This window comes from Homo sapiens, chromosome 10 (genome assembly GCF_000001405.40).
Source record: "Homo sapiens chromosome 10, GRCh38.p14 Primary Assembly".
Classification (NCBI taxonomy): domain Eukaryota; kingdom Metazoa; phylum Chordata; class Mammalia; order Primates; family Hominidae; genus Homo; species Homo sapiens.
In genome coordinates, this window is record NC_000010.11 from 6120742 (window position 1) to 6145823 (window position 25082).

At 50.5% G+C, this 25082-nt stretch overlaps 1 protein-coding gene and 2 long non-coding RNA genes across 10 annotated transcripts in view, besides 13 other annotated features; 2 read left to right on the forward strand and 1 right to left on the reverse strand.

The window, feature by feature from the left end:
• Positions 1–842: 842 nt before the first annotated feature.
• On the reverse strand, positions 843–20890 carry LOC101928080 (uncharacterized). Of its 2 annotated transcripts, none has more exons than XR_930619.3 (3): positions 20277–20890; positions 5215–5370; positions 843–1271 (listed from the first exon to the last, which is right to left on the reverse strand). It is a non-coding gene; the product is annotated as an uncharacterized LOC101928080 (long non-coding RNA). The 2 variants fall into 2 exon arrangements; XR_930620.3 differs by having other exon boundaries at positions 1057–1271; positions 5215–5342.
• Positions 5781–5900: an enhancer, noted in NCBI's record as "active region_2953". NCBI's record gives its function as "activates an Ori minimal core promoter by ATAC-STARR-seq in GM12878 lymphoblastoid cells {active_cell/tissue: GM12878}" and the evidence as "EXISTENCE:reporter gene assay evidence [ECO:0000049][PMID:35858748]".
• Positions 9187–9236: an enhancer, noted in NCBI's record as "active region_2954". NCBI's record gives its function as "activates an Ori minimal core promoter by ATAC-STARR-seq in GM12878 lymphoblastoid cells {active_cell/tissue: GM12878}" and the evidence as "EXISTENCE:reporter gene assay evidence [ECO:0000049][PMID:35858748]".
• Positions 9287–9366: an enhancer, noted in NCBI's record as "active region_2955". NCBI's record gives its function as "activates an Ori minimal core promoter by ATAC-STARR-seq in GM12878 lymphoblastoid cells {active_cell/tissue: GM12878}" and the evidence as "EXISTENCE:reporter gene assay evidence [ECO:0000049][PMID:35858748]".
• Positions 9377–9456: an enhancer, noted in NCBI's record as "active region_2956". NCBI's record gives its function as "activates an Ori minimal core promoter by ATAC-STARR-seq in GM12878 lymphoblastoid cells {active_cell/tissue: GM12878}" and the evidence as "EXISTENCE:reporter gene assay evidence [ECO:0000049][PMID:35858748]".
• Positions 13393–13941: an enhancer, noted in NCBI's record as "H3K4me1 hESC enhancer chr10:6176097-6176645 (GRCh37/hg19 assembly coordinates)". NCBI's record gives its function as "activates a minimal SCP1, AML or CMV promoter by ChIP-STARR-seq in primed H9 embryonic stem cells {active_cell/tissue: H9 hESC(primed)}" and the evidence as "EXISTENCE:reporter gene assay evidence [ECO:0000049][PMID:30033119]".
• Positions 13942–14489: an enhancer, noted in NCBI's record as "H3K4me1 hESC enhancer chr10:6176646-6177193 (GRCh37/hg19 assembly coordinates)". NCBI's record gives its function as "activates a minimal SCP1, AML or CMV promoter by ChIP-STARR-seq in primed H9 embryonic stem cells {active_cell/tissue: H9 hESC(primed)}" and the evidence as "EXISTENCE:reporter gene assay evidence [ECO:0000049][PMID:30033119]".
• Positions 15832–16131: an enhancer, noted in NCBI's record as "active region_2957". NCBI's record gives its function as "activates an Ori minimal core promoter by ATAC-STARR-seq in GM12878 lymphoblastoid cells {active_cell/tissue: GM12878}" and the evidence as "EXISTENCE:reporter gene assay evidence [ECO:0000049][PMID:35858748]".
• On the forward strand, positions 19927–22740 carry LOC124902369 (uncharacterized). The gene is made up of 3 exons (XR_007062043.1): positions 19927–20046; positions 20416–20611; positions 20714–22740. It is a non-coding gene; the product is annotated as an uncharacterized LOC124902369 (long non-coding RNA).
• Positions 23682–23801: an enhancer, noted in NCBI's record as "active region_2958". NCBI's record gives its function as "activates an Ori minimal core promoter by ATAC-STARR-seq in GM12878 lymphoblastoid cells {active_cell/tissue: GM12878}" and the evidence as "EXISTENCE:reporter gene assay evidence [ECO:0000049][PMID:35858748]".
• Positions 23892–24441: a silencer, noted in NCBI's record as "silent region_2100". NCBI's record gives its function as "represses an Ori minimal core promoter by ATAC-STARR-seq in GM12878 lymphoblastoid cells {active_cell/tissue: GM12878}" and the evidence as "EXISTENCE:reporter gene assay evidence [ECO:0000049][PMID:35858748]".
• Positions 23892–24462: a biological region, named in NCBI's record as "CRISPRi-FlowFISH-validated PFKFB3 regulatory elements GRCh37_chr10:6186610-6187110 and GRCh37_chr10:6186666-6187166". NCBI's record gives its function as "regulatory_interactions: PFKFB3".
• Positions 23906–24406: a transcriptional cis regulatory region, noted in NCBI's record as "chr10:6186610-6187110 region (GRCh37/hg19 assembly coordinates) targeted for CRISPR interference". NCBI's record gives its function as "positively regulates PFKFB3 gene expression in Jurkat T cells {active_cell/tissue: Jurkat}" and the evidence as "EXISTENCE:mutant phenotype evidence [ECO:0000015][PMID:33828297]".
• Positions 23962–24462: a transcriptional cis regulatory region, noted in NCBI's record as "chr10:6186666-6187166 region (GRCh37/hg19 assembly coordinates) targeted for CRISPR interference". NCBI's record gives its function as "positively regulates PFKFB3 gene expression in THP-1 monocytic cells {active_cell/tissue: THP-1}" and the evidence as "EXISTENCE:mutant phenotype evidence [ECO:0000015][PMID:33828297]".
• Positions 24180–25082, forward strand: part of PFKFB3 (6-phosphofructo-2-kinase/fructose-2,6-biphosphatase 3) — a 181717-nt gene continuing 180814 nt past the window's right edge. For all 7 annotated transcript variants that reach the window (NR_136554.2, XM_047425341.1, NM_001323016.2 and 4 more), the window contains exon 1: positions 24180–24272. Coding sequence is in view for 6 of the 7 variants with exons in the window: in XM_047425341.1 (XP_047281297.1) it covers positions 24257–24272 (16 nt within the window). In the remaining variant the exon portion in view is untranslated. The remainder of the gene's footprint in view (positions 24273–25082) is intronic.
• Positions 24502–24651: an enhancer, noted in NCBI's record as "active region_2959". NCBI's record gives its function as "activates an Ori minimal core promoter by ATAC-STARR-seq in GM12878 lymphoblastoid cells {active_cell/tissue: GM12878}" and the evidence as "EXISTENCE:reporter gene assay evidence [ECO:0000049][PMID:35858748]".

The following is a 25082-nucleotide window of genomic DNA, read 5'->3' on the forward strand; positions in this document are numbered from 1 at the left end:
CCCGTATACACAATCCTTACCGCGTCTAGACTCCTGCTTGGAAGCCGGGGCGTTCTCACTGCCCTCGCTGCGCCGCGCCTTCCCTTAGGTTCCTGTGGTGGGAGTGTTGGCAGTGACTTCTGCTCACGCTCTCCCTGCTGCCTGGAGAATTGCCCCTTCCCTCATTCCCCTTCCAACACGTATCCTGGGCCTGCTGAGTTGCTACTCATGCGAGGTTTATTGGCACCACAGCCCCATAATTGAGAAACAACAGTCCCCAGCTGCACACCTCCCCCGCGGGAACTACTTTTAACTTTTTAGCTGGCCTGCTGCTGGTCTCTGCCTCCATACTTCTAAATACATCCTCATGAGGCTCCTTCCCTCTCTTCCTAAGCAGATGTCTCGGAAGAAGAGGCTGTACTTACTTTCCACCTCCCTCATCTCCATTCAGTCTTTAACTCGCTACAACTGAAGGAGTAAACCCAGAAAAAGATGGCATTGACTCGGGGAAATAGGGAACCCAAAGTAGGAGAGACGAAAGCAGTTCCCAAGGTCATCATGAAAGAAGTCTTGGTCCATAGCCATACAGGGGCCTGGAGAACTCGTGGTCCATCCGGGAGCGGGAAGATGAGGGGCTTTCCAAAGTTGTAAAATAATGGTAATTAACCATGATATACAACTGACTCAGCTGAGATGAATACACAAAATGCCATATCATATAAATACTGATTACAGGTTTGTTTTTTAATGTTGCCCTGGGCCCAGCTTGAAAGAATGAATGGGGCGGGGGGGGGGGGGGGGGGCGGCGGGCAACGGTGCGGGGGGTGGGGGCATGGGAAAGCTAAACTTTGTTTCTTTTTTTTTTTTTTTCTTTTTTTTGAGACGGACTCTCGCTCTGTCTCCCACGCTGGAGTGCAGTGGCGCGATCTTGGCTGACTACAACCTCTGCTTCCCGGGTTCACGCCATTCTCCTGCCTCAGTCTCTTGAGTAGCTGGGACTACAAGGCGTGCGCCATCACGTTCGGCTAATTTTTGTATTTTTAGAGACGGGGTTTCTCCAGGCTGGTCCCGAATTCCTGATCTCAGGTAATCCACCCACCTCAGCCTCCCAGAGTGCTGGGATTACAGGCGTGAGCCACCATGCCCAGCCCACTCTTCTGTTTTCTAGGAAGTCAGTGGATTGTCAAACGTTCTTTTGGTCTCTCCTGTGCTGGAGCGTTGCGCTGGATCCTGCGTCTTAATCTTCTTGATTTCCTCTCTATTTTTGGTGGAGCTTATCTTGAAGTAGTTTCCTAAGAAAAGATACAGGAGAGATACAGTTTGTTAGGCCATGCATGTCTGAAAAATCTTAATTCTGCATTTTTCTTTTTCTATTTTTCTTTTGAGACAGGGTCTCCGTTGCCCAGGCTGGAGTGCAGTGGCGCGGTCATAGTTCACTGCAACCTTGAACTCAGGAGCTGAAGCGATCCTCCCACCTCAGCCTCTAGAGTAGCTGGGACCACAGGCACTCACCACCACCCACAAAAATCATAATTCTGTCATGCTGAATTGCTAGTTTGACTAAACGTGGACTTCTTGATTAAAACCCATTTTCCCTCAGAATTTTGAGGGCATTGCTACATTCTCATTTTCTTGTTTTGCGGTTGGTAAAGTCAGTGTCCTCCTTGCTGACCTGTTTTTCTTCTCTCTGGAAGGTTCTGGAACCACTGTCTGGAAGTTTCACGACTATGCCGTGGACCTCTTCTCGTTCAGCATGGTGGGCATTGGGGATGAACCCTCTTTTTTTTTTTTGGAGACAGAACCTCGCTCTGTTGCTCAGGCTGGAGTGCAGTGGTGTGATCTCGGCTCACTGCAACCTCCACCTCCCAGGTTCAAGCGATTCTCCTGCCTCGGCCTCCCGAGTAGCTGGGATTACTGGCATGCACATCATGCCTGGCAAATTTTTGTATTTTTAGTAAAGACAGGGTTTCACTATGTTAGCTAGGCTGGTCTTGAACTTCTGACCTCAAGTGAACCGCCCACCTCGGCCTCCCAAAGTGCTGGGATTACAGGCATGAGCCACCGTGCCTGGCCAGGGGATGATCTCTTTCTAGAAATTCATATCCTTCAATTCTGGAAATGTTTCTCATGATAGTTCTTTGATAACTGACCCTCCTTCCTTCACTGTATTTCTCTTTCTGGGACTTTTACTAGTCAGTGTATTTCTGGGTTGGTCTCTCTCTTTTCTCTTTTATTGGCAACCCTGATCTAAGGAACTAAGGTATAGAGGTGGTTGAGTCCTGACCAGAGCCGTGAGGGTCTAGATTTATGTAAATGATGGAGCCATACACGTTACTTTATTTATAGCAAGATATTGTAAAGATTTTGAAATGTCATTTATATGAAATGTCAAGATTATTAAATTCGTAGTTCACTGTAACCTCAAACTCCTGGGCTCAAGCAATCCTCCCACCTCAGCCTCCAAAGTAGCTGGGACTACAGGCACATCCCACCATGCCCAGCTAATTTTTGTATTTTTTGTAGAGACGGGGTTTCACCATGTTGCCTAGCCTTGTCTCGAACTCCTGGACTCAAGCAATCCTCCTGCCTTGACCTCCCAAAGTGTGGGGATTACAGGCACTGAGCCACTGCACCTGGTCAATGCATTTTTAAATATGGTCTAAGGGTATCAGCAAGTTGCAGATTTGATAACAGCTGGGTCTTTTCATTTAGTAACCACCCTTTTTTCCTCCTCTGTACTCTCACACAATATTAAAATACCTCCTATTAAATCTCTATTATCCTCTTCTCTTCCTGTTGCATTTTTCTCCCACAACTTAAGGCTCAAGTCTAAGCAGTGAAAACATAAGGTTTCCGATAAGCTAAGACAGTGTCTATCCATGGACGGGTTCGTGACAAACCCCTGTGGGTCCCTGGCTTGCTGAAACCAGGTTTCACATGAGGGGAGGAAGTGGCTTGACAAGAAGGGGGTTGCTAAGGGAACTTTATTACTCATTTCTCTTGGAAAAAAGCAGAAGGAATAAATGGAATAAAAGTCTGATAATTTGGCAGACATGCTTTGCAGTTACTTGCAGTACTGTGCTTAGGTTCAGAATAAGGAACTAAGTAACAATAATTGACGCTGAATCTCTTCAGAAGTAAGCTGATGGTGACTCAATAAACTCTCCCAGATGACCGCTGTATACACAGGTATTTTATGAGGGTGCAACTGGATTAAGTCATTCTGAACTGAATTTTGCATAATTATTACCAAAATTTGGATTGAAAAGTAAGTTTACAGTTGGCATTCCTATTTAATTTTAGTTTTTGTCAAAATAATATCTGTACATAATTATAAAATCAACTAAGTCTTCAAATACTCATAAATCAGAACAGCACTCTGCCTCCACCAGTCCCATTCTCCAAAGGAAAACACATTCAGTTCTTGTTTTTTTTTCTTGTTGTTGTTTTGGTTTTTGCATTTTTCTTTTTTCTTTTTTTTTTTTGAGACAGAGTTTTGCTCTTGTCGCGCAGGCTTGAATTCCTGGGCTCAAGCGACCCTCCACCCTTGGCCTCCCAAAGTGCAAGGGATTACAGGTGTGAGCCACCATACCAGCCTTCAAGGGCAGTTCTGATGCCTAACACCTGCTGATCCAGCTCAACAATATTGGATCACTTGAGGTCAGGAGTTCGAGACCAGCCTGGCCAACAGGGTGAAACACTCTCTCTACTAAAAACACAAAAATTATCCTGGCATGGTGGCGTGTGCCTGTAAGCCCAGCTATTTGGGAGGCTGAGACAGGAGAATCACTTGAACCCAGGAGGCAGAGGCTGCAGTGAGCCGAGATTGTGCCGCTGCACTCTAGCCTGGGTGACAGAGTCAAACTCTGTCTCAAAAAAAAAAAAAAAAGTCTCCGATGCCCTCTGGCCTTCATGGTGGACATTGGCATGTAAAGCTCACAAACACCTTCTCCCTTGCAAGGAGGATGATACAGAATCTTCACATTCTTCTGCATGGCACCAATTGTGCTATTTTAACAACAATGACTGTGCAGAAATGAAGCCAGTGCTTTTTTCCTCCAAGCCTTTGGACAAAGCATGTTTTATGACAAAAATAATCCCTCCGGCTCACATGTCCTCTCAGGCTTCCCACTGCTCTCCCACACAGCCTCTCGCTCCGAGAAGTGAGTCCCCTCCCGCTAATGCCAATCCTTCGGGCACACCCAGAACTTGTTTCCAGAGACTGAAATAACATTTCCAACGGGGTGGTGCCACCGGATTTGCTGAGCTGTTTAGTGGCCCATAGTGAGCTGATTTGTGTTGGGTAGATTATCTTCCCTGGGCGTGACGGGAAGGAGAGACTCAAGGCAGAACTTCTTTTTGAAACAAATGAATTTGGAAATATTAGGCAAGGAGGAAATAGTGATATAACTTGTTTTTTCCAGTATTGAAAGATGCCACCTCTGTACTTAACCACAGAGTAAGAAATATTCAGGAAAGTATATATTTTTATAGCATTGAAGTTAACCATTGAAGAGGGATTTATTAAGAGCTTACTATTAGGCAGTATGAGAATTTGTTTAAAGTATTAGATACCCCAAAATCCTATTCAAAAAGACACAAATATGATTCTAAAATATGTAAACAACAATGCTAGTAAACAAATGAAGGTATAATATAATTTGGCCCAAGAAACCCCCACGTTCAGAGCTTAGAGAAAATATATTACTTTTTTCCCCCTTTCTGGCTTTTACAGCCTTACTAAAACAAAAACAATTCTGGTGACTGAAGATTCAAAAAACAAAACAAAACAAAACAAAAAACCAGCCGGGTGCGGTGGCTCACGCCTGTAATCCCAGCACTTTGGGAGGCCGAGGCGGGCAGATCACAAGGTCAGGAGATCGAGACCATCCTGGCTAACATGGTGAAACCCTGTCTCTACTAAAAATTAAAAAAAATCAGCTGGGTGTGGCGGCACGCGCCTGTAGTCCCAGCTACTCGGGAGGGCGAGACAGGAGAATCGCTTGAACCCAGGAGGCGGAGGTTGCAGTGAGCCAAGATCGCGCGGCTGCACTCCAGCTTGGGCGACAGAGCGAGACTCGGTCTCAAAAAAAAAAGAAAAAAAAGAAAAAAATTGTAATTCCAAAGCGTGAACCCTTCACTGAAGCCACTGAACACTCTCATCCACGCCAAAACTTCAAAAGTTAACACTGGCTTGCACAGTTTGACTGATCCTGGAGCGGCAGAGTGACTCACCGTCTGCAGCCAGGCCTGGACGGCACTGCTGGTCCTAAGTCCCTCAGCGTTCAGGTCTCAGTCTACCCAGCCAGAGACGACCGCTGCGCGTCCTCCGTCAGATGGCAAAGCCACGACTTTGTGCCGACCTACAGAACGCCAGTTAATCTTGGGAATCTGAAATGATTCATTTTATTTAGCAAAGTGTTTTCAATTCCTTCAAGATTGGTGCTTGTCTAAACCATTTGCTCTGAGTGAGTTGTAAGGAATCAGGCACGAAGCACCTTAAATACCCCAGGCTCAGGGTGTTTTGAACAGGCCTTGCAGGCCGGCAGAGGCCGTCTCCTCCTACCCAGAGAGCAGCGCTGTGGACCTTGCTGAGCTGGTGACCTGTCATCTCCAGCCCTTCTCCGGGAAACCCCTTCTATAGGAAACAAATTTCTCACTTCCCCAGCACCTAAGTGCCATCATTCTGTCCGGTGAGATGAAAGTGGAAATATCTCCATCTTCTGGGGAAAGCTTTCATTTTCTTGGTGAAAGGAAAAACACAGCTGCTGCGACTCCTGTGTCCCTGGTTTCAACCTTGAACTGGGGCCCGGTGCCTGGAGATGCAGGGGAGGGCTCAGACCGTGAGCAACTCCAGCCCACTGCAGTGGGTGGACTAGAACATTATCCAGCCTCTGCACCAGTCCTGGACTGCTCACCCTGACTTCTACAAGAAAAAGAAATCCCTTTTTGTTAAGTCACAGTAAGTTGGGGTTTCTGTTACTTAACAGATGTACACTTGCAGGGTACAGTGGCTCACGCCTGTAATCCCAGCACTTTGGAAGGCCGAGGCAGGCAAATCACTTGAGGTCAGGAGTTCGAGACCAGCCTGGCCAATACGGAGAAACCCCGTCTCTACTAAAAATATAAAATTAGCCAGGTATGGTGGTGCATGCCTGTAATCCCAGCTACTCGGGAGGCTGAGGCAGGAGAATCGCTTGAACCCAGGAGGCAGAGGTTGCGGTGATCCAAGATCGCACCATTGCACTCTAGCCTGGGCAATAGGAGCGAAACTCCATCTCAAAAACAAACAAAAAACAGACCTATACCTAACGGATAGGGAATTTGGTATCTGAGAGCCAGTGGCTCCAGGGGACAGACACTAATGTACGGCGTTGGCTAAGAGGAGGTCCAGTGGTGGGGCGGGGACCCAACTCCTTCAGCCTGGAAAATCAGGGTCCTGCTTGATGGTGAATGATCAGTTGCATGCTCACCTGTTGTGAGACCTAGAGACTAAAGCTGTAGCGTAAAACAGTGGTTCCCAAACCTTTCTGGCACCAGGGACCAATTTTGTAGAAGACAGTTTTCCACGTACCAGGGTTGAGGGACGGTCTGGGGATGATTCAGGAGCATTACATTTATTGTGCACTTTATTTCTATTATTGATACATTGTAATATGCAATGACATAATTAAACAACTCACCATAATGTAGAATCAGTGGCAGCCCTAAGCCTGTTTTCCTGCAACTAGGGCCAGCCTCCAGGAGACAGAAGAGGAGGTGGGCAGGTCACCAGGGCCAGCCTCCAGGAGACAGAAGAGGAGGTGGGCAGGTCACAAGGGCCAGCCTCCAGGAGACAGAAGAGGAGGTGGGCAGGTCACCAGGGCCAGCCTCCAGGAGACAGAAGAGGAGGTGGGCAGGTCACAAGGGCCAGCCTCTGGGAAACAGAAGAGGAGGTGGGCAGGTCACCAGGGCCAGCCTCCAGGAGACAGAAGAGGAGGTGGGCAGGTCACCAGGGCCAGTCTCTGGGAGAGGGAAGGTGTTAGGTTGGATGATGTGTGGAGAGAAGGCCTTTGCTATGGCTGCTTGAGCATGGGACCAAACAGAATAGACCAGGAATTTACAGCTAGATGTGTAAGGTAATTACATTGTCCAAGAAACCAAAGGGTGCAGTGGTTCACTCCTGTAATCCCAGCACCTTGGGAGACCAAGGTGGGAGAATCACTTGAGCCCAGGAGTTTGAAACCAGCCTGGGCAACACGGTGAGAGCCCATCTCTAAAAAAAATAAAATTAACTGGGTGCAGTGGCACATGCCTGCTGTGGTCCCGGCTATGCAGGAGGCTGAGGTGGGAGGATCACCTGAGCCCCAGAGGTCGAGGCTGTAGTGAGCTATGATTGCACTGCTGCACGCCAGCCTGGCCAACAGAGTGAAACCCTATCTCAAAAACAGCAACAAAGAACAAAGCAGCCCTCAGGCTGGCTAGCAGTAGCCCCTGTCTGTTCAGGCCGTGAAGCCATCTGCAGCCCCTGAACCCATACTCAAGAACTGAACTGCAAAACCCTATGTTCTCCATCAGGGGTGTCCCGCCCAGGGCCCTGCTTGGATGAGGTCTTGGAGGACCCTCCCAGAGACCAGAGAAGTCAGTGGGAAGGTCTGATACGAGGTGCCAGGCTGGCTCACTGGGGAGCTTGCTGTATCGCCAGGGCAGGGAGACCTCACTGCTCCTTCCAGCGGGATCTTGCGTGTGACTCGTTTTGTCTTCCCATCCTCTGAGTTTCTGAAGGGGGATTGTATTGCAATGGTCTGTTTCCTCTTCCACCATTCCTTACTGCATGTGTTGATGATGGACTACAAGTCTTTGGGCTATAGCTGGTGGGATCATGAGGAGCTCCCTCTGGACCCCAGGCGGACGCCTGCACCTCATCTGGATATGCAGGACTCGGGAAGGTGGATGCCATGGCTCAGGTGGTCTTGAGGGTGGCCCTCCAAGCCTTTGGCGGGGGCAGTGTGTTCTCTAGAAAGAGGTGCACTGGGGCTGACCTGGGAAAAGACCAACCCGATTCACATTCCCAAACCCTTTCTTGTATTTAACTTTTCAGAAACGTTCCATCTGCTCTCTCTCAGCACCACTTTGCAGCTAATCAAGAAGACGCAAGCAGACATCCACTGGGGGTGGGGAGGAGTTCCGAGAGTGCTGAGCCTTCCGGATTAAAGGGACATACGCTGCTGCCCGAATCCCAAATGCAGCGTGATGCCACTACCGCAGCCCAGCTGCAGCCTTGAGGAAGAGGGTGCAGGAGCTACAGAGGCTGTCCTTGACATGATTCAGCCTTCAAAGCAGGATTAACTGCTGCTGCCTCCAGACCTTCCTGTTTTGTGAGAAAAACAAATCCCAATGTGTTTAAGCCTCCATGAGTCAGGTTCTCATTTACATGTAGCCGAAAGCATTTCTGAAGGGTGCAAACACACTCGAAAGATAAGATTCTACCCCATCAGCAAAAACCATTAGGTGAAGTTGATGAACATTTTTCAGTCAACACTGGTTTCATGTTAACAGCTTAGTGATCTTCCCAGGGGGTGAGATTTGGGGTGCACTGAGGAGGCCTCCCTACCTAAAATAATTCCAGCAGTCCTGTTATTGATGCCTGAACTTCTACATGCAGAGCCACACGCAATCTGCGTGGTATGCACACACATGCACACACAGCTGTTAGGAGGGGCCTGAACAACCAGGAGTGTAGACGGCAGCGCAGGAGCTTGGGACAGAAAGCCAGGCTGTGGTTTCATGCATTGCAGATCCTATATCCCAGAAGCCATTTCTTTTTCTTTTTCTTTTTCTCTTTCTTGTTTTGTTTTGTTTTTTGAGACAGAGTCTTGTTCTGTCACCCAGGCTGGAGTGTAATGGCGCGATCTCGGCTCACTGCAACCTTCACCTCCCTGGTTCAAGTGACTCTCCAGCCTCAGCCTCCCGAGTAGCTGGGATTACAGGTGTGTGCCACCATACCTGGCTAATTTTTGTATTTTTAGGAGAGACAGTATTTCGCCATGTTGGCCAGGCTGGTCTCGAACTCCTGACCTCAGACGATCTGCCCGCCTCGGCCCCCCAAAGTGCTGGAACTATAGGCGTGCGCCACCACGCCTGGCCAGCCAAATCTATTTGTAACAGATTTCACTTTCAGAAAATTTCTCCATGTAATCCAAATCTTTCATTTTCTAGTACAGACCTCTTTCCCCTTAGCACTCTGTTCTTGATGACTTAGAAGTGTCGTTTCTCTTCACATCATTTGCACGTCATTCCTTCCTGTCTCCAGCTTCTTCTTCCCAGCCCTCCTCCTCCTCTGCACACAGGAAACCTCATTCTGTGGTGTGAACAGGGGGATTCCCGTCTTCCTGAAGCGACTTAGTCTTGAGCTGCCTGTGCCCTTCCCATCACAGTGAATGTTGCCAGTTGGGGATGACTGGGCAGCCATGGGGAAGGTGAGCAGAGGGCAGAGGAGTCCAAGCCCCTGAGGTGGAGGTGGGAGCAGGGAGAGCTGCAGGCTCAGCTGCTGGGGCAGTAGGAGGAGAGCCAGGACCTGGAGGAGTGTGTGTGTGTGTGTGTGTGTGTGTGTGTGTGTGTGTCTGTGTGATTGTGAGTGTGTGTGTGTGGTGCGGTCAGTGGGGAGCGGGGGAGTCTTTTATCTTTACCACTTGTTTGTCTGATTAACCTACTTTTCTTGGTTTCTAGGGAAAGAGCAAAAAAATTTTTTCTTTCTCTGAGACAGGGAGTAAAGCACGTGGCATCAAGACTGCAGCAGAAGGCCAGGCGCAGTGGCTCACACCTGTAAACCCAGCACTTTGGGAGGCTGAGGGTGGGGGTGGATCACCTGAGGTCAGGAGTTCGAGACCAGCCTGGCCAACATGGGGAAACCTCATCTCTACTAAAAATACCAAATTAGCCAGGTGTGGTGGCACGTGCCTGTAATCCCAGCTACTCGGGAGGCTGAGGCAGAAGAATCACTTGAACCTGGGAGGCGGAGGTTGCAGTGAGCCGAGATCATGCCACTGCACTCCGGCCTGAGCAACGAGTGAAACTCCATCTCAAAAAAAAAAAAAAAAAGAAAGAAAGAAAGAAAAAGAAAAAAAAAAAGACTGCAACAGAAGCGCAGGGCACCCTGGGATGCCTGCAGCCTCTCACCTTCAACCTCTGTGCTGGGATCCATCAATTCCCTTCCCATTTGACTGTCAAATCAGAAGGGTCTTTGCTAATTTCAGCATAAATTGGGAGAAAGCTGACCTCGATTTAGCTGGAATGACAGCAATGACTAATTTGTACACCAGAATTAATAAAGCTAGCTCTTGCCCCACAGGGAGAGAAAGATGATGTGGTTTTCTTGCATCTGCCCTAACTGAGATTGCTTTTTGGCAAGGATAGAGAAATGCTCATTCTCCACACTCCCAGGAGGGGGTCTGCTGACAGCTCCTGGACTGTCACCTGAATTGAGGTGTGACTGGGCCAGGGGTGTCCCAAGCCAACCAGCCAGGCACCTGGACGGGTGGGCTCTTGACCCCCTGAGACCACCATGGTCTTCGAAGGAGAGTCAGCAGGTCTGGAAGCAAGCGTGCTGGGGACCCCTTCCCCGTGGGGGGCCAGGAGCTCCTGTTATAAGAGCTCCAACAGGCCTCCGTATTTTCTGTCCCTTTTACAGGCAAGAATTCAATTCTGGGTCCTGAGCAGGGGTTGTCCCGGTCAATAAGCAACTTCAGTTCCTTGGGACAGGACCCCAGACTTGCTGGTAATGACATCGTTGTTTCTTTACCGGATAAGTCTCTCTTAACCCTGGAAAAGTCTGTTTACACAGAGGAGTGTGAAACCAACTCATACTTTTGATATTTTGGGGTTACGTTTAGGCAATCTTTACATATTTGATATTTTAAGAAGTTGCTGTTTTAAGAGGATGTGGCATATTTTAACTTGTAATTTTAAATGCAATGAATGGACTGGCCTCTTGATTCCAATTCAAAATATGTGATTGGGTAATTGATATAGATTTGTGATTTAAACTCAGATATTCAACGCCAATTTATTAAGATTGTAGGCAGTATGGGAACATTTAAAAAAACCAGAGATTCGCCAGAGTTAGTTGTTAAGCACTTGAGAATGCTTGTGAATAAATTAAAGTATTTAAAAGTATAAAGTATTAATATTATAAATGCAGTTTAAAAATTTTAAGGCAGCAAGTGCGTTGGCTCATGCCTCTAATCCTAGCACTTTGGGAGGCTGAGGCGGGCGGATTGCCTGAGCTCAGGAGTTTGAGACCAGCCCGGGCAACCTGGTGAACCCCTGTCTTCACTAAAATAAAAAAATTAGCCAGGCATGGCGGTGTGCGCCTGCCCATAGTCTCAGCTACTCAGAAGGCTGAGACAGGAAAATCGCTTGGACCCAGGAGTGGAGGTTGCAGTGAGCAGAGATCACGCCACTGCATTCCAGCCTGGGTGACAGAGCAAGACTCTGTCTCCAAAAGAAAAAATTTCAAGGACATTTAAATAAATAAATTTCTGAATGGGAACAGTCATCAAAGTTTTCCTTAACAATGACTGTTCGATGTTTTCTGTATTATAAAATAAAGTTATACATGGATGGAGCTGGAGGCCATTATCCTAAGCGAACCAACACAGGAACAGAAAACCAGATACCGCATGTTCTTGCTTATCAGTGGGAGCTAAACACTGAGGACACAAGGACACAAAGGAGGGAACAACAGATACCGGGGCCTCCTTGAGGGTGGAGGGTGGGAGGAGGGTGAGGACCAAAAAGCTATCTGTCAGCCGGGCGCGGCGGCTCACACCTGCAATCCCAGCACTTTGGGAGGCTAAGGAGGGCAGACCGCTTGAGTTCAGGAGTTTGAGACCAGCCTGGGCAACATGGCGAAACCCCATCTCTACAAAAACTTAACATTAGCCAGATGTGATGCTGCATGCCCTTGGTCCCAGCTATTAGGGAGGCTGAGGTGGGAGGATTGCCTGAGGTAGAGGCTGCAGTGAGCCATGATCATGCCACTGCACTCCAGCCTGGGTGACCGAGCAAGACCCTGCCTCAAATTTAAAAAAAATAATAAAAAAGAAGGCTACCTGTTGGGTACTATGCTTATAATTTAGGTAACAAAATAATCTGTACGCCAAACCCCTGTGACATACAATTTACCCATATAACAGATCTGTACATGTATCCCTGAACCTAAAATAAAAGTTAAAAATAAATAAATGTAGGACTGCAAAAGGCTTATTGCAAAAAAAGTTAAAGTTAAGAATAAATAAATAGGCTGGGTGCAGGCCGGGCGTGGTGGTTCACGCCTATAATCCCAGCACTTTGGGAGGCTGAGGCAGGCAGATCACCTGAGGTCAGGAGTTTGAGACCAGCCTAGCCAACATGGTGAAACCCCGTCTCTACTAAAAATACAAACATTAGCCGGGTGTGGTGGCACATGCCTGTAATCCCAGCTACTCGGGAGGCAGAGGCAGGAGAATCGCTTGAACCTGGTGGAGGTTGCAGTGAGCCAAGATTGCGCCAATTCACTCCAGCCTGAGCTGGAGAAAAATCTATTTTGTTAAGCAGGAGAATCCTATTTTGTTAAGCAGGAGAATCGCTTAAACCTGGGAGGCGGAGGTTGCAGTGAGCTGAGATTGTGCCACTGCTCTCCAGCCTGGGTGACAGAGCGAGACTGTCTCAAAAAAAAAAAAAAAAGGGCATTTGCTCCTCACATTTGGCCACTGATGAACACTGTCTGCATGTTACAGGTGAGGAAACAGGTGGAGGAAGGGAGTGCCCGGAGCAGAGGCCCCGCCCCGCCCCCACGGCCTGGCTCTCCCGCCTGGTTTAGTTTGGCCTCTAAAGCGTCCTCATTACAAGCAAAGTGCAGCCCCACCACAGAGAATCCCGTTTCTCTCTGGGAGTGCTTATGTGATTAATTTGAAGTCACCATGACTCTGATTTCCTCTGCAGAATTCAGCAGCGTATTCCAGGATTCCAGGAGCGCAATGCAGTAGAAAGCAACCACTTGGCCCAGGAGACTGAGACTAATTTCTGGGAAAGAGGCAGCCAGGCTCCTCGGCCTTATGCAGGTCATGAAGACTCAGTACATTGAAATTGAAGGTCCTCAGTTCCCAGCTAAGCGAGCCTCCAAGGACTGTGACGTCCCAACCTTCGGATGAGGATGGAGGCGGGAGGAGACACAGCGCCGGCCAGGAGACCTGGTGTTGGGGCTCTGCCCCTGGTCTGGCTGAGCAATCCGGGCAAGTCACTACCCTGGCCGAGGCCAGCTTTGTCGGCAGAGAAATGGGTGAATGCTGCCTCCGCTTGAATCCAGAGTTTGTCAGGATGCTATGGAAAAAATTATATGAAGGTTCTTTGCAACATTAAAAAAAATAATAAAATAAAATAAACCTGTTGCATATTTGCCAGGGGCTGGGCTTTCTGAGAGTGGACAGGGAACAGCTGAGCGTGCTTGACGGCTCTGGGGTCCTCAGGGCCTCCGTCTCCCCTGTGACACTGTCCTGGGCTCAGCGGGCTGTGGAGGCCCCAAGTGACGCTGTGAACAGCTGGCAAGAGCCTTTCCCGGACTCTACAGCCTCCCTGTGGCCCCTCGTTCCTTATGAAGGAAGGGATGGCTGCCCGACCTGTGGGTCCTGGGCACTGTCCTGCTCCCCTGGTTGTGGAGTTGCCAGGACGGCGGGACAATCAACACAACGCTCTTCTTCTTCTGTCGGGGACATCACCACAGAGAAGAAAAGAGCCTCTCCCTAGAGAGAAATCCTGATGTCTGAAACTTCAGCTGAATGGAGGAGAAAGGATAATTCATCACCTTTCCCCAGAGCCAGGGCAGCACGTAGGAGCTGCGTTTTGAGGGGAGGATGACAGAAAGAGTGCACACAGCACACCAGCTGTGCTAGGGCTGGGCCAGGCCAACCGTGGGCCCTTGGGGAGCCCATGCCCCCCACCAGCAGCCTGCTGCCAGGTTCCTGGGCCCGTGTGTGCGCCTCCTCCCAGGTGTTCAGCTCGGCTCTGACCTAGGAGCTGCCAGGAAGGGCTGTGCAGATGGAATTAAGGTCCCCATGAGTTGACTGTAAGATGGGAGATTGCTGGGGGCCGGAGTCCTTTAAGGCAGAGAGCTTTCTCCTGCAGGACCCAGAAGAAGACATCAGTGTTCAAAGCACGAGAAAGATCCAACCTGCCCTTGCCCCTGCGGAAGGAGGAGCCACGTGGCATGGAACGAGGGTGGCCTCTAGGAGTGACCCCGCTGACAGCCAGCGAGGAAATGGGGACCCTATTCCCACTCCACAGGAACTGAATTGTGCCCACAAGGAGGAGCTGGGAAGTGGAGTTTTCTCCAGAGGTTCCTGATGAGAACTCAGCTAGTCAGCACCTTGATCTCCGCTGGGCGAGGTCTGTGCAGAGCCACAGGCAGGCAGTGTGACTTCTAACCTTCAGAATCGGGAGCTAATGAAGGGGTGGGGCTTAAACCACAAAATTTCTGTGTGTGTGTGTGTGTGTTTTTTTGTTTTTTTAAAAAAAGAACACTACATAGCAATAGAAAGTAAACGAACATCCCCTGCATTAAATTGCACATGTATTGAAGTTCAGTAGATGTAAATTAGCACAGCTGTCTCTTCTTTCCTGAAAGCATTTTTTTTGTTTTGTTTTGTTTTAGAAACACAGTCTCACTCTGTTGCGCAGGCTGGAGTGCAGTGGTGCGATCTCAGCTCACGGCAACCTCCACCTCCCTGGTTCAAATGATTCTCCTGCCTCAGCCTCCTGAGTAGCTGGGACTACAGGCGTGTACCACCATGCCCGGCTAATTTTTGTATTTTTAGTAGAGATGGGGTTCCACCGTGTTAGCCAGGATGGTCTCGATCTCCTGACCTCTGGTGATCTGCCTGCCTTGGCCTCCCAAAGTGCTGGGATTACAGACATGAGCCACCATGCCGGCCCTGAAAGCATTTATTTTGAAACAATTTCAAACTGAAAAACACCTCTATCCTCTTCTCCCACACTGACCAATTGTTCCTCACCAGTTGTCTATGTATTTGCTAAATCATTCTGTGTGTGTGTATCATGTGCGAGTGCGTATTTTTTTTCTGAGCCATCTGAGCCCATTTACCCCTACAAAGAAAGAAATTCATTTATATAAGCACATAAAAAATTCAACCCTGATGAAATGTCTATTCTATAGACCTAATGTGAAGTATGAATATGCCCACTTTACAGACGGACAAACTAAGGTGGAAAAGTTACATGCCTTACCCAAAGCCACACAAATGGTAAGTGGCAAAACCAGGTTCCACCTTGAAATCCTGGGCTCTTTTCCTTGTGTTCTGTCCGTTTCAATTGGGGTCCAGTCGGAACAAGATAAACTACTCTGGGTGTTTCGAAGAGCTGAGATTTAATATAGGAAGCCCTGTAACTGTAGGAAGCCAAAGCTATTCCTTTGGGGGACTCAGAGAGGGGAATGGTGTCACCCAACAGCCCAAGAATGTACTCAGCACCCCAGCTCTCAAAGCTTCAGGAAGGGAGAGACCCCCTCCACCTCCTGCTGAGCAGGAGCCCAGGAGCCGCCCCCTGCACCCCGGGCTGACCTGCCAGAGCCTGAAGTCACCAGCTTCCCGTCACTGCTCAAGCGAAGTGGGGGTCTGAATTCACAGCTTCGCCATCAGCTATTGGGGGACCCGCACGAGTCATTTAGCCTGCGAATGCCTCATTCCTCTGTAAAATGGGGCATCTGGTTTAGATGAGCTGTAAGTTTCATTCCAGTTCTGAAATGACTAATTCTTCCCTCATTGTGTTCTTTGACTTTGAACAACTCATGCCTCTGTTTTGCGCCTCCTCTTTTTCAGTAGCCTCTTTAGATCCGATAGCAGTCCAAGGGGAGGCAAGGGAGCCTGGGGTGGTGGAGGACACCCGCGATGACCAACCCGTGTGCTTGCCACGGCTGGCTTCTGCTCCAAAGGCACCCTCTCCTCTTCTCCACACCCCATCCCCTCTTCTTTCTCTCTTGCTCCTCATCTGAGCTCCTTTCCTAGGTTGGGGAATTCCCCACCTTACAGACTTATTTTAGTTAGTTATTCATAACTAGGTATGTCTTACCATGGAGGCAGCAGTAGCTGCTGAAACCATCAGATACTTCCCCAGCCTTCCCTGCAGCTAAGGGGGTGAGGTTGAGACCTCCACGGGGGGAGCCAGAAGCTCCTGCCCAGCCTCTTAAGGTAACTCAAGAGACAAAGGAGCAGGCTCAAGAGGCGGTGCCCCCATGCGGATCTAGCGTCCTGAGTTTGCCAGAGCCGCCCTCTGATGTGAATTTGGCCAGAGTTCTGGCAGCTTTGGCTAGTTCTCCTGACTTTCTCCCAAACCTGTGAGCTACTCGATACCCTCCAATAAATTCCTCTCTGATTTAATCACCCAGAGTTGGATCCCTAGCTTGCAGCCAAAACTCCTGACTGACACACATGTTATCTCATGCAATGCTCACAGCCACCCTAGGGGCAGGTGTTATTATTGTCTCCATTTTACAGATGAGGAAACTGAGGCACAGTGAGGCCAAGGAGCTTGCATATGAAGTCACGTAGCTGTGAGGGGCGGCAGCCCCCAGATTATGTCACCAATGCAGCCTAAGACGTGGCAGAAAATGCTTCAGGGATGAGGCCAGGTGTGGTGGCTCACACCTGTAATCCCAGCACTTCAGGAGGCCAAGGCAGGCAGATCACTTGAGCCTAGGAGTTCAAGACCAGCTTGGACAACATGGTGAAACCCCGTCTCTACCAAAAATACAAAAAATTAGCTGGGTGTGATGGCACATACCTGTGATCCCAGGTATCTGGGAAGCTGAGATGGGAGGACTGCTTGAGCCCGGGAGGTTGAGGCCGCAGTGAACGGTGATCACGCCACTGCATTCATTCCAGCCTGGGCCACAGTCCTGTCTCAAAAACAAACAAACAAACAAACAAAAAACAAGAAGAAGAAAATGCAGCAGTGACAAGAAACTCCTGGTCACTCAGCACAGGCTTTTCCTGAGGACAGAGATGTGTGGTGAGAGCTTGTGCAGCCCCTCCTGTAGAACGAGAGCTGCTCCATCTCAGCTTCCTCTAGAAAGGTGACGTTTCCTATAGATTTTTGTTTTAAGCTTGGAGCAGAGGACCATACTGTACAAACAGCAAATTAGGAAAATTAAACTTACTGTTTTAGTGGAAGAAAACTGATTTTTCTTTTCCTTTTTTTCGAAACGTGTCTCTCTCTGTTGCCCAGGCTGGAGTGCAATGGCGTGACCATGACTCACTGCAGCCTCAACCTCCCAGGTTCAAGCCATCCTCCCTCCTCAGCCTTCCCAGTGGCTGGGAGTCCAGGCGTGCACTGCCACCACACCCAGCTAATTTTTAAAATTTTCTTGTAGAGATGGAGTCTTGCTATATTGCCCAGGCTGTCTTGAACTCCTGGCCTCAAGTGATCCTCCTGCCTTGGCCTCCCAAAGTGCTGGAATTACAGGCATGAGCCACTGTACCTGGCCAATCTGAGAATGCATCCTCGTGGCTAAATGACTTATTATGACTTTATCCTTCGCTCAGCTTCCCTAAACGTCACATAACCACAGCACAATTATCAAAATGTGAGAATTAATAACTGGCTAATAATCAGTGAATAATAATTAACTTGCATTTCATCAACTGTCCTATGAATAGCCTTTTGGGGGTTCAGGATCAGTCCAGGGTGCGGCTGTTGGTCATCATGTCTCTTCAGTCTCCTTGAATGTGGAACGCTTCCTCCACCCGCTTTGTCTTTCGTGATTTGGACATTTCTGAGACGTCCTGGCTGGGTATTTTGTTGCACATCCCTTATTTTAGGTGTCTCATGTTGCCTTGCGATCAGATTCAGCGTATGCATTTTTGGCAGGAATACCACAGATGTGACTCGGTATCCTTTCCTATGAACCATGTCGGGAAGGACGTGACGTTGATTCCGCCCATTCCTGGTGAGGTCTGCCAGATTTCTCCCCTATAAAGTTACCATTTTCCCCTTTGTAATGGATAATTGTCTGGTGGGGAGATGCTTTGAATCTGTCCATATCCTGTTTCTCATGGTATTTTGCCCACTAATTTTAACACCCACTGATGATTCTTCCCTGAAACAAGTACATTGTGGCATTCACCAAATGGTGATTTTTCTAGTTCCATGATTCCTTCTACATGTATTGGTTGGAATTCTACTGTAAGGAAAAGCTTTCTCTCTTCCCTCATTCATTCATCTATTTATTTAAATCAGTATGGGCTCAAGATTCTTCTTTAATTCCATGGGTCACAATCCATCTACTACCATACTATCTTGTTCTTCAGACTGTCCCAGAAGAGCCCCTTCAGGTCAGCCCTGGTGTCTTTGGGACATGTCCCCATCGTTTTGGGGCACCACAGATGCTCCCAGCTCATGTTGTGCTTTCCCACCCTAACCCTCTAACCCTCTGAGATCTCCTGGTTCCTTTAATTGGAGGATGGTATTTAGAATACCAAGACCTGGGAGGTAGATGCACTCATTTACTTTCTTTTTTTCTTCTAGCTTGCTTGCTTGTTTGTTTGCTTGCTTGCTTTTTTGCTTCTTTTGAGACAGAGTCGTGCTCTGTCACCCAGGCTGGAGGGCAGTGGTACAATCTCGGCTCACTGTAATCTCCGCCTCCTGGGTTCAAGTGATTCTCATGCCTCAGCCTCCTGAGTAGCTGGGATTACAGACGTGTGCCACCATGCCCAGCTAATTTTTGTATTTTTAGAAGAGACAGGGTTTCACCATGTTGGCCAGGCTGGTCTCAAACTCCCGACCTCAGGTGATCCACCTGCCTCGACTTCCCAAAAGGCTGGGATTACAGGCGTGAGCCACCGCGCCCGGCCTCATTTACTTACTTGCAGTGTTCATAGTTCTCTCCGATGCTGTGAATCATGAATCCTTTCACAGTTACATGCATGTGCGTGCACACACACACGAATGGTCTGAGAGCCCATGCCCCAGCAGGTGGGGTTTCTCTTGTCCTGTCCTTCTCAGCTGTGGTGCCCACCCAGGCGCCCCCTCCTCCTCACTCTTCTTGGAGACCAGAGCTTCCTATTCACTACCCTGGGGCGGTTAAAGCAGCCCCTCTCTGCTCCCAGCTAAACAATAATGATGATAATGGCAATGATCATAATGATGATGATAATGGCAATGATCATAATGATGATGATAATGGTAATATAATAATGATGATGATAATGGTAATACTGATGATAATAACAATAGAAGCACCCATTTATTAAGCTCTCCTTGTGCTGCATGGACAAAACACAGGCTCAAAGACCGTTTTTCACACAGCATAGGAAGGGACCCAGCAGGGACTCAGACCCATCCCAGATCCCCCAGCCTTCTGGCAAACTCCAAGGAGATGGGGAGCTTGAGGAGGCGGATCCACACCACACGCGGGCCGTGGCGTGGGGACAGCCCGGTAGTGGGAACGGCTCTGGACACTCACGTCGGGGATGTGGCAGAGGCCTTGGGGTGGGCTCTGGACTCTCACATCGGAGATGTGGCAGAGGCCTCGGGTGGGCGTGCACAGGAAAGGCATTGGCCTCAAGTACTCCGTGGACCTGGCTGGCCCTGCCCGCCGCACTCCTTCACACAGGTTCTTTATTGCCATTGTCCCCGCCCGCATCAAAGGATCCCAGCATGCTTCCCACAGCCTGGAATTCCTTTGCTGGGAATGGGAGACAAAGCCATACTTTCTATCATCAGAGAGGAAAGGCCCAAAATGCAAACATGCAGCCAGAGAGAGGCTGTGGCAGGCAGGAGTTTCTGAGTAGGGAGTGTCAGATCCCCTCCTACTGAGTGCCACTTTCCCTTCTGAGACAGCATGGGAGCCGTCAGCCTACGAACTGGAGAGAACTCCAGGAAGGAGCCCTTTTCTTCCTGCAATGAGGGCAACCGGAAGCTGTGGCCACGGCACCTGCTGTCCCCGGAGCCTGGGCACCGACGTAAGGGAGGAAGGCGGCGCCTCCCTTTTCCCCTGCCCTGGCCACAGGAGCCTCAGGATTGACAGCTCATCTGCGGGTAGGTCTGCCCAGGGAGGGGTCGCTGCATAAGGGGTCTGTAGCCCCTGGGGCCCTGGGGTCCCTACCCTTGGTCACCTGCAGGCATAAGTCGCTCCTTTCCTCTTCAGCTCTGGGGTGTGGTCCAGAAGTAGTGGACTGAACTAAGCAGCACAATGGTCAGCATCACCTGGGACTCCGCCTAGAATGCTAGAAATGCGCATTCTTGCCCCCAATCCCCACAAGACTTACTCAGTTAGAAACTCGGGAAACAATCAGTGTGCCCAGCCCTCCAGGTGGGTGGTTCCGATATCTGTTCAGGTTTGAGAACCTTTGTGCTCAGGACCTCCGGTTACCAAATCATGCCACTTACGGTGACCATTCTCAAAAGATGGCAGAAGGAAGAAGGATGAGGAAGACTTGAGCCTGGCCGGGCAATCCTTGGTTTCCTCATGAACCCTTGCAATCGGGTTACATTTTGAACATCACTGGGACATGCTAAGAACTCCTCTGGAGCACAGCAGTGCTCACATCAATAGTCCAGCAGATTGAGCACGGAGATGTCAGCAGACACACTTGCAAGTTTGGTGAGTAATAATGAAAGTACTCAGTTCCGTGATTCATACTATAGTGTTGACAGGTCTGGGAATATAGTCTTAATTTAAAATTGCTTCGGATCTTTTCTCCAGGTCTGAAAACCAGAGGGACCGTGCCCACGATCCCCGCCGTTTCCCTGACCAGCACGGCTGTGGCGAGTTCGTTGTTCAATCCCGGATGGCTCAGCAAATCCAACCCCCTCCGCCCTGTTCTATCGCCGCATGGATCTGCAGAGGCAGCCGTTCCTGCCGGGTGGATTTGCCTTCCGCGAAGGACAACACAGAACCACTCTGAGTTATTTGACACTGACATCGATCCTAGTTGGCTGACTCTGGTTGGTGGTGAGAGGACAAATGTTCCCAGGGACTATTAAACAACCACAAAAATCTGAGAGGGCGGTTATCTGAACATGGAACAGAAACAAGACAGTAACGAGTTCCAATGTTCTTTTTTTTTTCTACACAGGATTCAAACGAACTCAGAGTAGCGAGATCAGAATACATGAATCTGACCTGTTTTTACTCACAACACCTCTGATACCAAGTGCGTGGGTTTTTTTCACACCGAAAACCAGTTCTCCCAACTCTCCAGACACCAACTGGGTGGCCTACGATTCCGTTCAAACGTGACACTAACTCCACAGGCTCCGAGGCTCAGTCCCTCAGGACTGCCCTGAGTTCAGACGCCAGCCTCCTGACTCCAGCCCAGGGTACCCACACTTCTGTCCAACTTGGCTACAAAGTTGGGGGTTTCCTACATTCCCCCCACCCTCCCTCCCAGTTTCACATTCAGTAATTTGCTAGAACAGCTCACAGAACTCAGGAAGGCACTTTACTGGTACTGGTTTATTATTAATATAAAGCATTGGACTCAGAACAGCCAGATGGAAAAGATGCTTAGGACGAGGTGAGGGGGGTGGAAGGCCAAGGGGCTTCCTCATCCTCTCCAGGCTGCCACCCCTCCCAACACACCTCCATGTGTTCACCAACCCAGAAATTCTCCACATTTTTTTTTTTGAGTCAGCGTCTTGCTCTGTCACCCAGGCTGGAGCGCAGTGGCACGGTCTCGGCTCACTGCAACCTCTGCTTCCTGGGTTCAAGCAATTCTCCTGCCTCAGCCTCCCGAGCAGCTGGGATGACAAGTGTCTGCCACATGTCTGGCTAATTTTTGTACCTTTAGTAGAGACGGGGTTTCACCATGTTGACCAGGCTGGTCTCAAACTCCTGACCTCCAGTGATCCACCCACCTCGGCCTCCCAGTGCTGGGATTACAGGTGTGAGCCACCCTGCCTGGCTCACATTCTGTCATTTGGGGCTCTTTTTTTTTTTTTTTTTGGATTCATTATGTAGGCATGATTGATTAATCACTGGCTGTTGGTGATTAACTTAATCTCCAGCCCCTCTCCCCTCCCCAAAGGTCAGAGGTCTGAGCTGAAAGTTCTGACTAATTCCAGCTCCCAGCCCCCATCCTGGAGCTGCCCAGTCCTCTCACTGACATTCAAAAAACACTCATCCCTCTGGAGATCCCAAGGGTTTTGGAAGCTCTGGACCAGAAAACAGGATCAAAGACCAAATATGCAGCCACGGCCCCATCCACCTCTGAGGGCATGTGCTCTGGCCTTACTATGACGGCGGCGGTGGCGAGTCTGATACAGGCGGGATGATGCACGCTTTATCTGGAACCCTTGGCCTTGGATAAAATTTGTCTTCTGTAGCAGTTACGTCCATGGAGCTAAGTCCAGGTCCACCTGCCATTGCAATTATGGCAGGGAAAAGGACAGAGGGAGCTGACGATTACACCTAACTTTGGATTTGGGGCACCCTTCTGTTCCCCCACTTCCTGCTTCGCTGACACTCACACCCCCAAAGGCGGTGGCGCAGAAGCTGAAATCAGGGCTCAGGACTCCATCTACAGCCAGGCCCACGAGCAGGGTCTGTTCTGAAGGCTCCACCAGCAGCTGTGTCCCAAGCCAACTGGCAAGACACCGTCCCACCCGACAGTGGCTTCCTCCCCGTGGCGTCATCTCCCTTCCAAAGAGGGAGGAATTTGGACTATTACCCACGAACGATAGCAGGCTAAGAAACAAATTATGATTACGAAAGATTAAAGAAAAAAAAAACCACCCACACCTACTGGCTGTACCTTTCCTGCATGATTTTTGCCACCGCATGGGAAGCGGGCCAATTGCTATTTGCCTGGGTGTTTTAAATATCAGGAGATCAGGAGATTTGCTCCTGACATAATTTTTTTTCGAAGTGCAACAGAAAATAGCACTTTTCACAACAATTAACTGTTAACTGGCTCCAAAGAAGGTCTGCTTGTTAGACATTAGGGAGGAATAGAAGGCATCTTCTCAGATGTTGGCCTTTGCGGAGGCAAGGTCAGTGGTGCCGGGAGGTGACTCCCTGCATTTCCGTATGTCCGTTTCTTAAGTCGCACTATTACTTCCCTTGAGTAAGGGACGTAATATTGAGTAATATTTATTGAGCTGTGTGTGAGAGACTGTTTCAGGCTCCGGGAAAACAGCGAACAAAATAAAAACAAATTGGCTGCTTTCATAGACCCCACACACTAATAAGCACATAGGGAGTCGGTCAGGCGGTGACCCGTGCGGTGGAGAGAAGGCAGCCGGCGGGACGTGGAAGGGTCGAGGTTAAACCGAGGTAGTGGGGAGGCCCCCAGTGAAAGACGCGAGTTTCCGGGGTGCTCCCTCTAGCCAGCAGTTAATTGCAATTCTGCCGGGCGCGGTGGCTCACGCCTGTAATCCCAGCACTTTGCGAGGCCGAGGTGGGCAGATCACTTTAAACCAGGAGTTCCCGACCAGCCTGGGCAACATGACAATACCCGTTTCTACAAAAACATTTAGAAAAATTATCTGGGCGTGGTGGCGCACGCCTGTAATCCCAGCTACTTGGGAGGCTGAAGCAGGAGTATGGGTTGAGCCTGGGGAGGTGGAGGCTGCAGTGAGCTATGATCGCACCGCTGCACTCCAGCCTGGGCGACAGAGTGAGATCCTGTCTCAAAACACACACACACACACACACACACCCCCCAAAACAACAAACAAAAAAAAAAAAGAGAAAGAAAAAATTACACAATTTCAGTTTGTTCAATTTGAGTCAGCTGGTGATTCGAGCGTGTCCCCTGTGCCCGTAGGACATAAAAGTAAAAATAAGATGGAATTCCCTCAGGTCTCGTCCTTCGGGAAGGATGGCTCGGAACAGCCCGAAAGAGAAAAGGGAGTTGGTTTCTTCCCGGACCAGTTTTCCCCTGTCCCGTGGAGTCCACAAGACAGGCGGCAGCTTCAAGGCCGGCAAGTTCCGCGTCTGGGGGGCTGCGGGCCGCCCCTGCGGGACCGGGGGGATCTGGGCGGGACAGGGCGGCCCGGCCCACGCCCCGGCTTCCCCCAGCAGCCCGAGGGCGCCCGGAGCTCACGGCTGGCGCCGCCCCGCGCTTCCTGCCTCGCCGCGGATCCTCCTCCGCGCCGTGACGCGCCAGGCTTTGACCAAATATGTCCCTTTCCCCTCCCTCGCCCGCCCCGCCGCCCGCAGGCGCCCCGAGTCGCGGGGCTGCCGCTTGGACGTCGTCCTGTCTGGGTGTCGCGGGCCGGCCCCGCGGGGAGCGCCCCCGGCGCGATGCCCTTCAGGAAAGGTAGGAGTCCCGGTGACGCGGCCCACGCCCCCAGCGCGCGCGGGGACCTGAGCGGCCGCCTGTGGGTACCCGAGCCTTGGGTCCTCGCCAGGCGCGGAAGCACTGTGCACCCGGGCTGCGGCGGTGCCGCCCGGGGCCAAGCGAGACGCGCTCCGCCTTGTCCCCTCCGCCCTGCGCTGCGCCCCGGACCCGCGTGTCCCTCCAGATCCGCACTGTCTCCTCCGGTCCTGCGTGTCCCCTCCGGCCCCACGCGTCCCCCTCCGGCCTCGCGTCTCCTTTCCGGCCTCGCGTCTCCTTTCCGGCCCCGCGTCTCCTCTGCAGCCCCGCATTGTGCCTCCAGACCCGCGCTACCTCCTCCAGACCCGCGCGTCCCCTCTGGCGACTCCGGCCGCCACCACGTGCCCGAGCCGGGGGCGGCACTTGCAGCGAATTCCCGCTTCCCGCTGCGCTCCAGCCCCGGGCCGCAGATATACCAGGGCTCCGGACCCGGAGAGACCCGGAGGGCGGCGGGGCCCGGGGTCCTGAGGGCGGGATTGGTGGGCTCGGGGGCACGGAGAGGGGCAGCGCGGCGCGGGAGGTGGGCAGCTCTGGCCTGAGTCCCACCTTTGCCCCTCCCGCCCTCTGACCCCCGGGCAGTCATTTCAGCCCCCAGCCCCAGTTGCCTCCTGGGCAAAACCGACAGATGGCTAGGGACGGCCGCGTGAGGATGGGAGCCGTCCCCAGAAAAGCAAACTCAGGCCCGCTGATGAGCGCGGCCCGGCCCCTCCTGCAGGGGCTGCCCTCCGCCTTTTCCGCCCTGCGTGCCAGAAA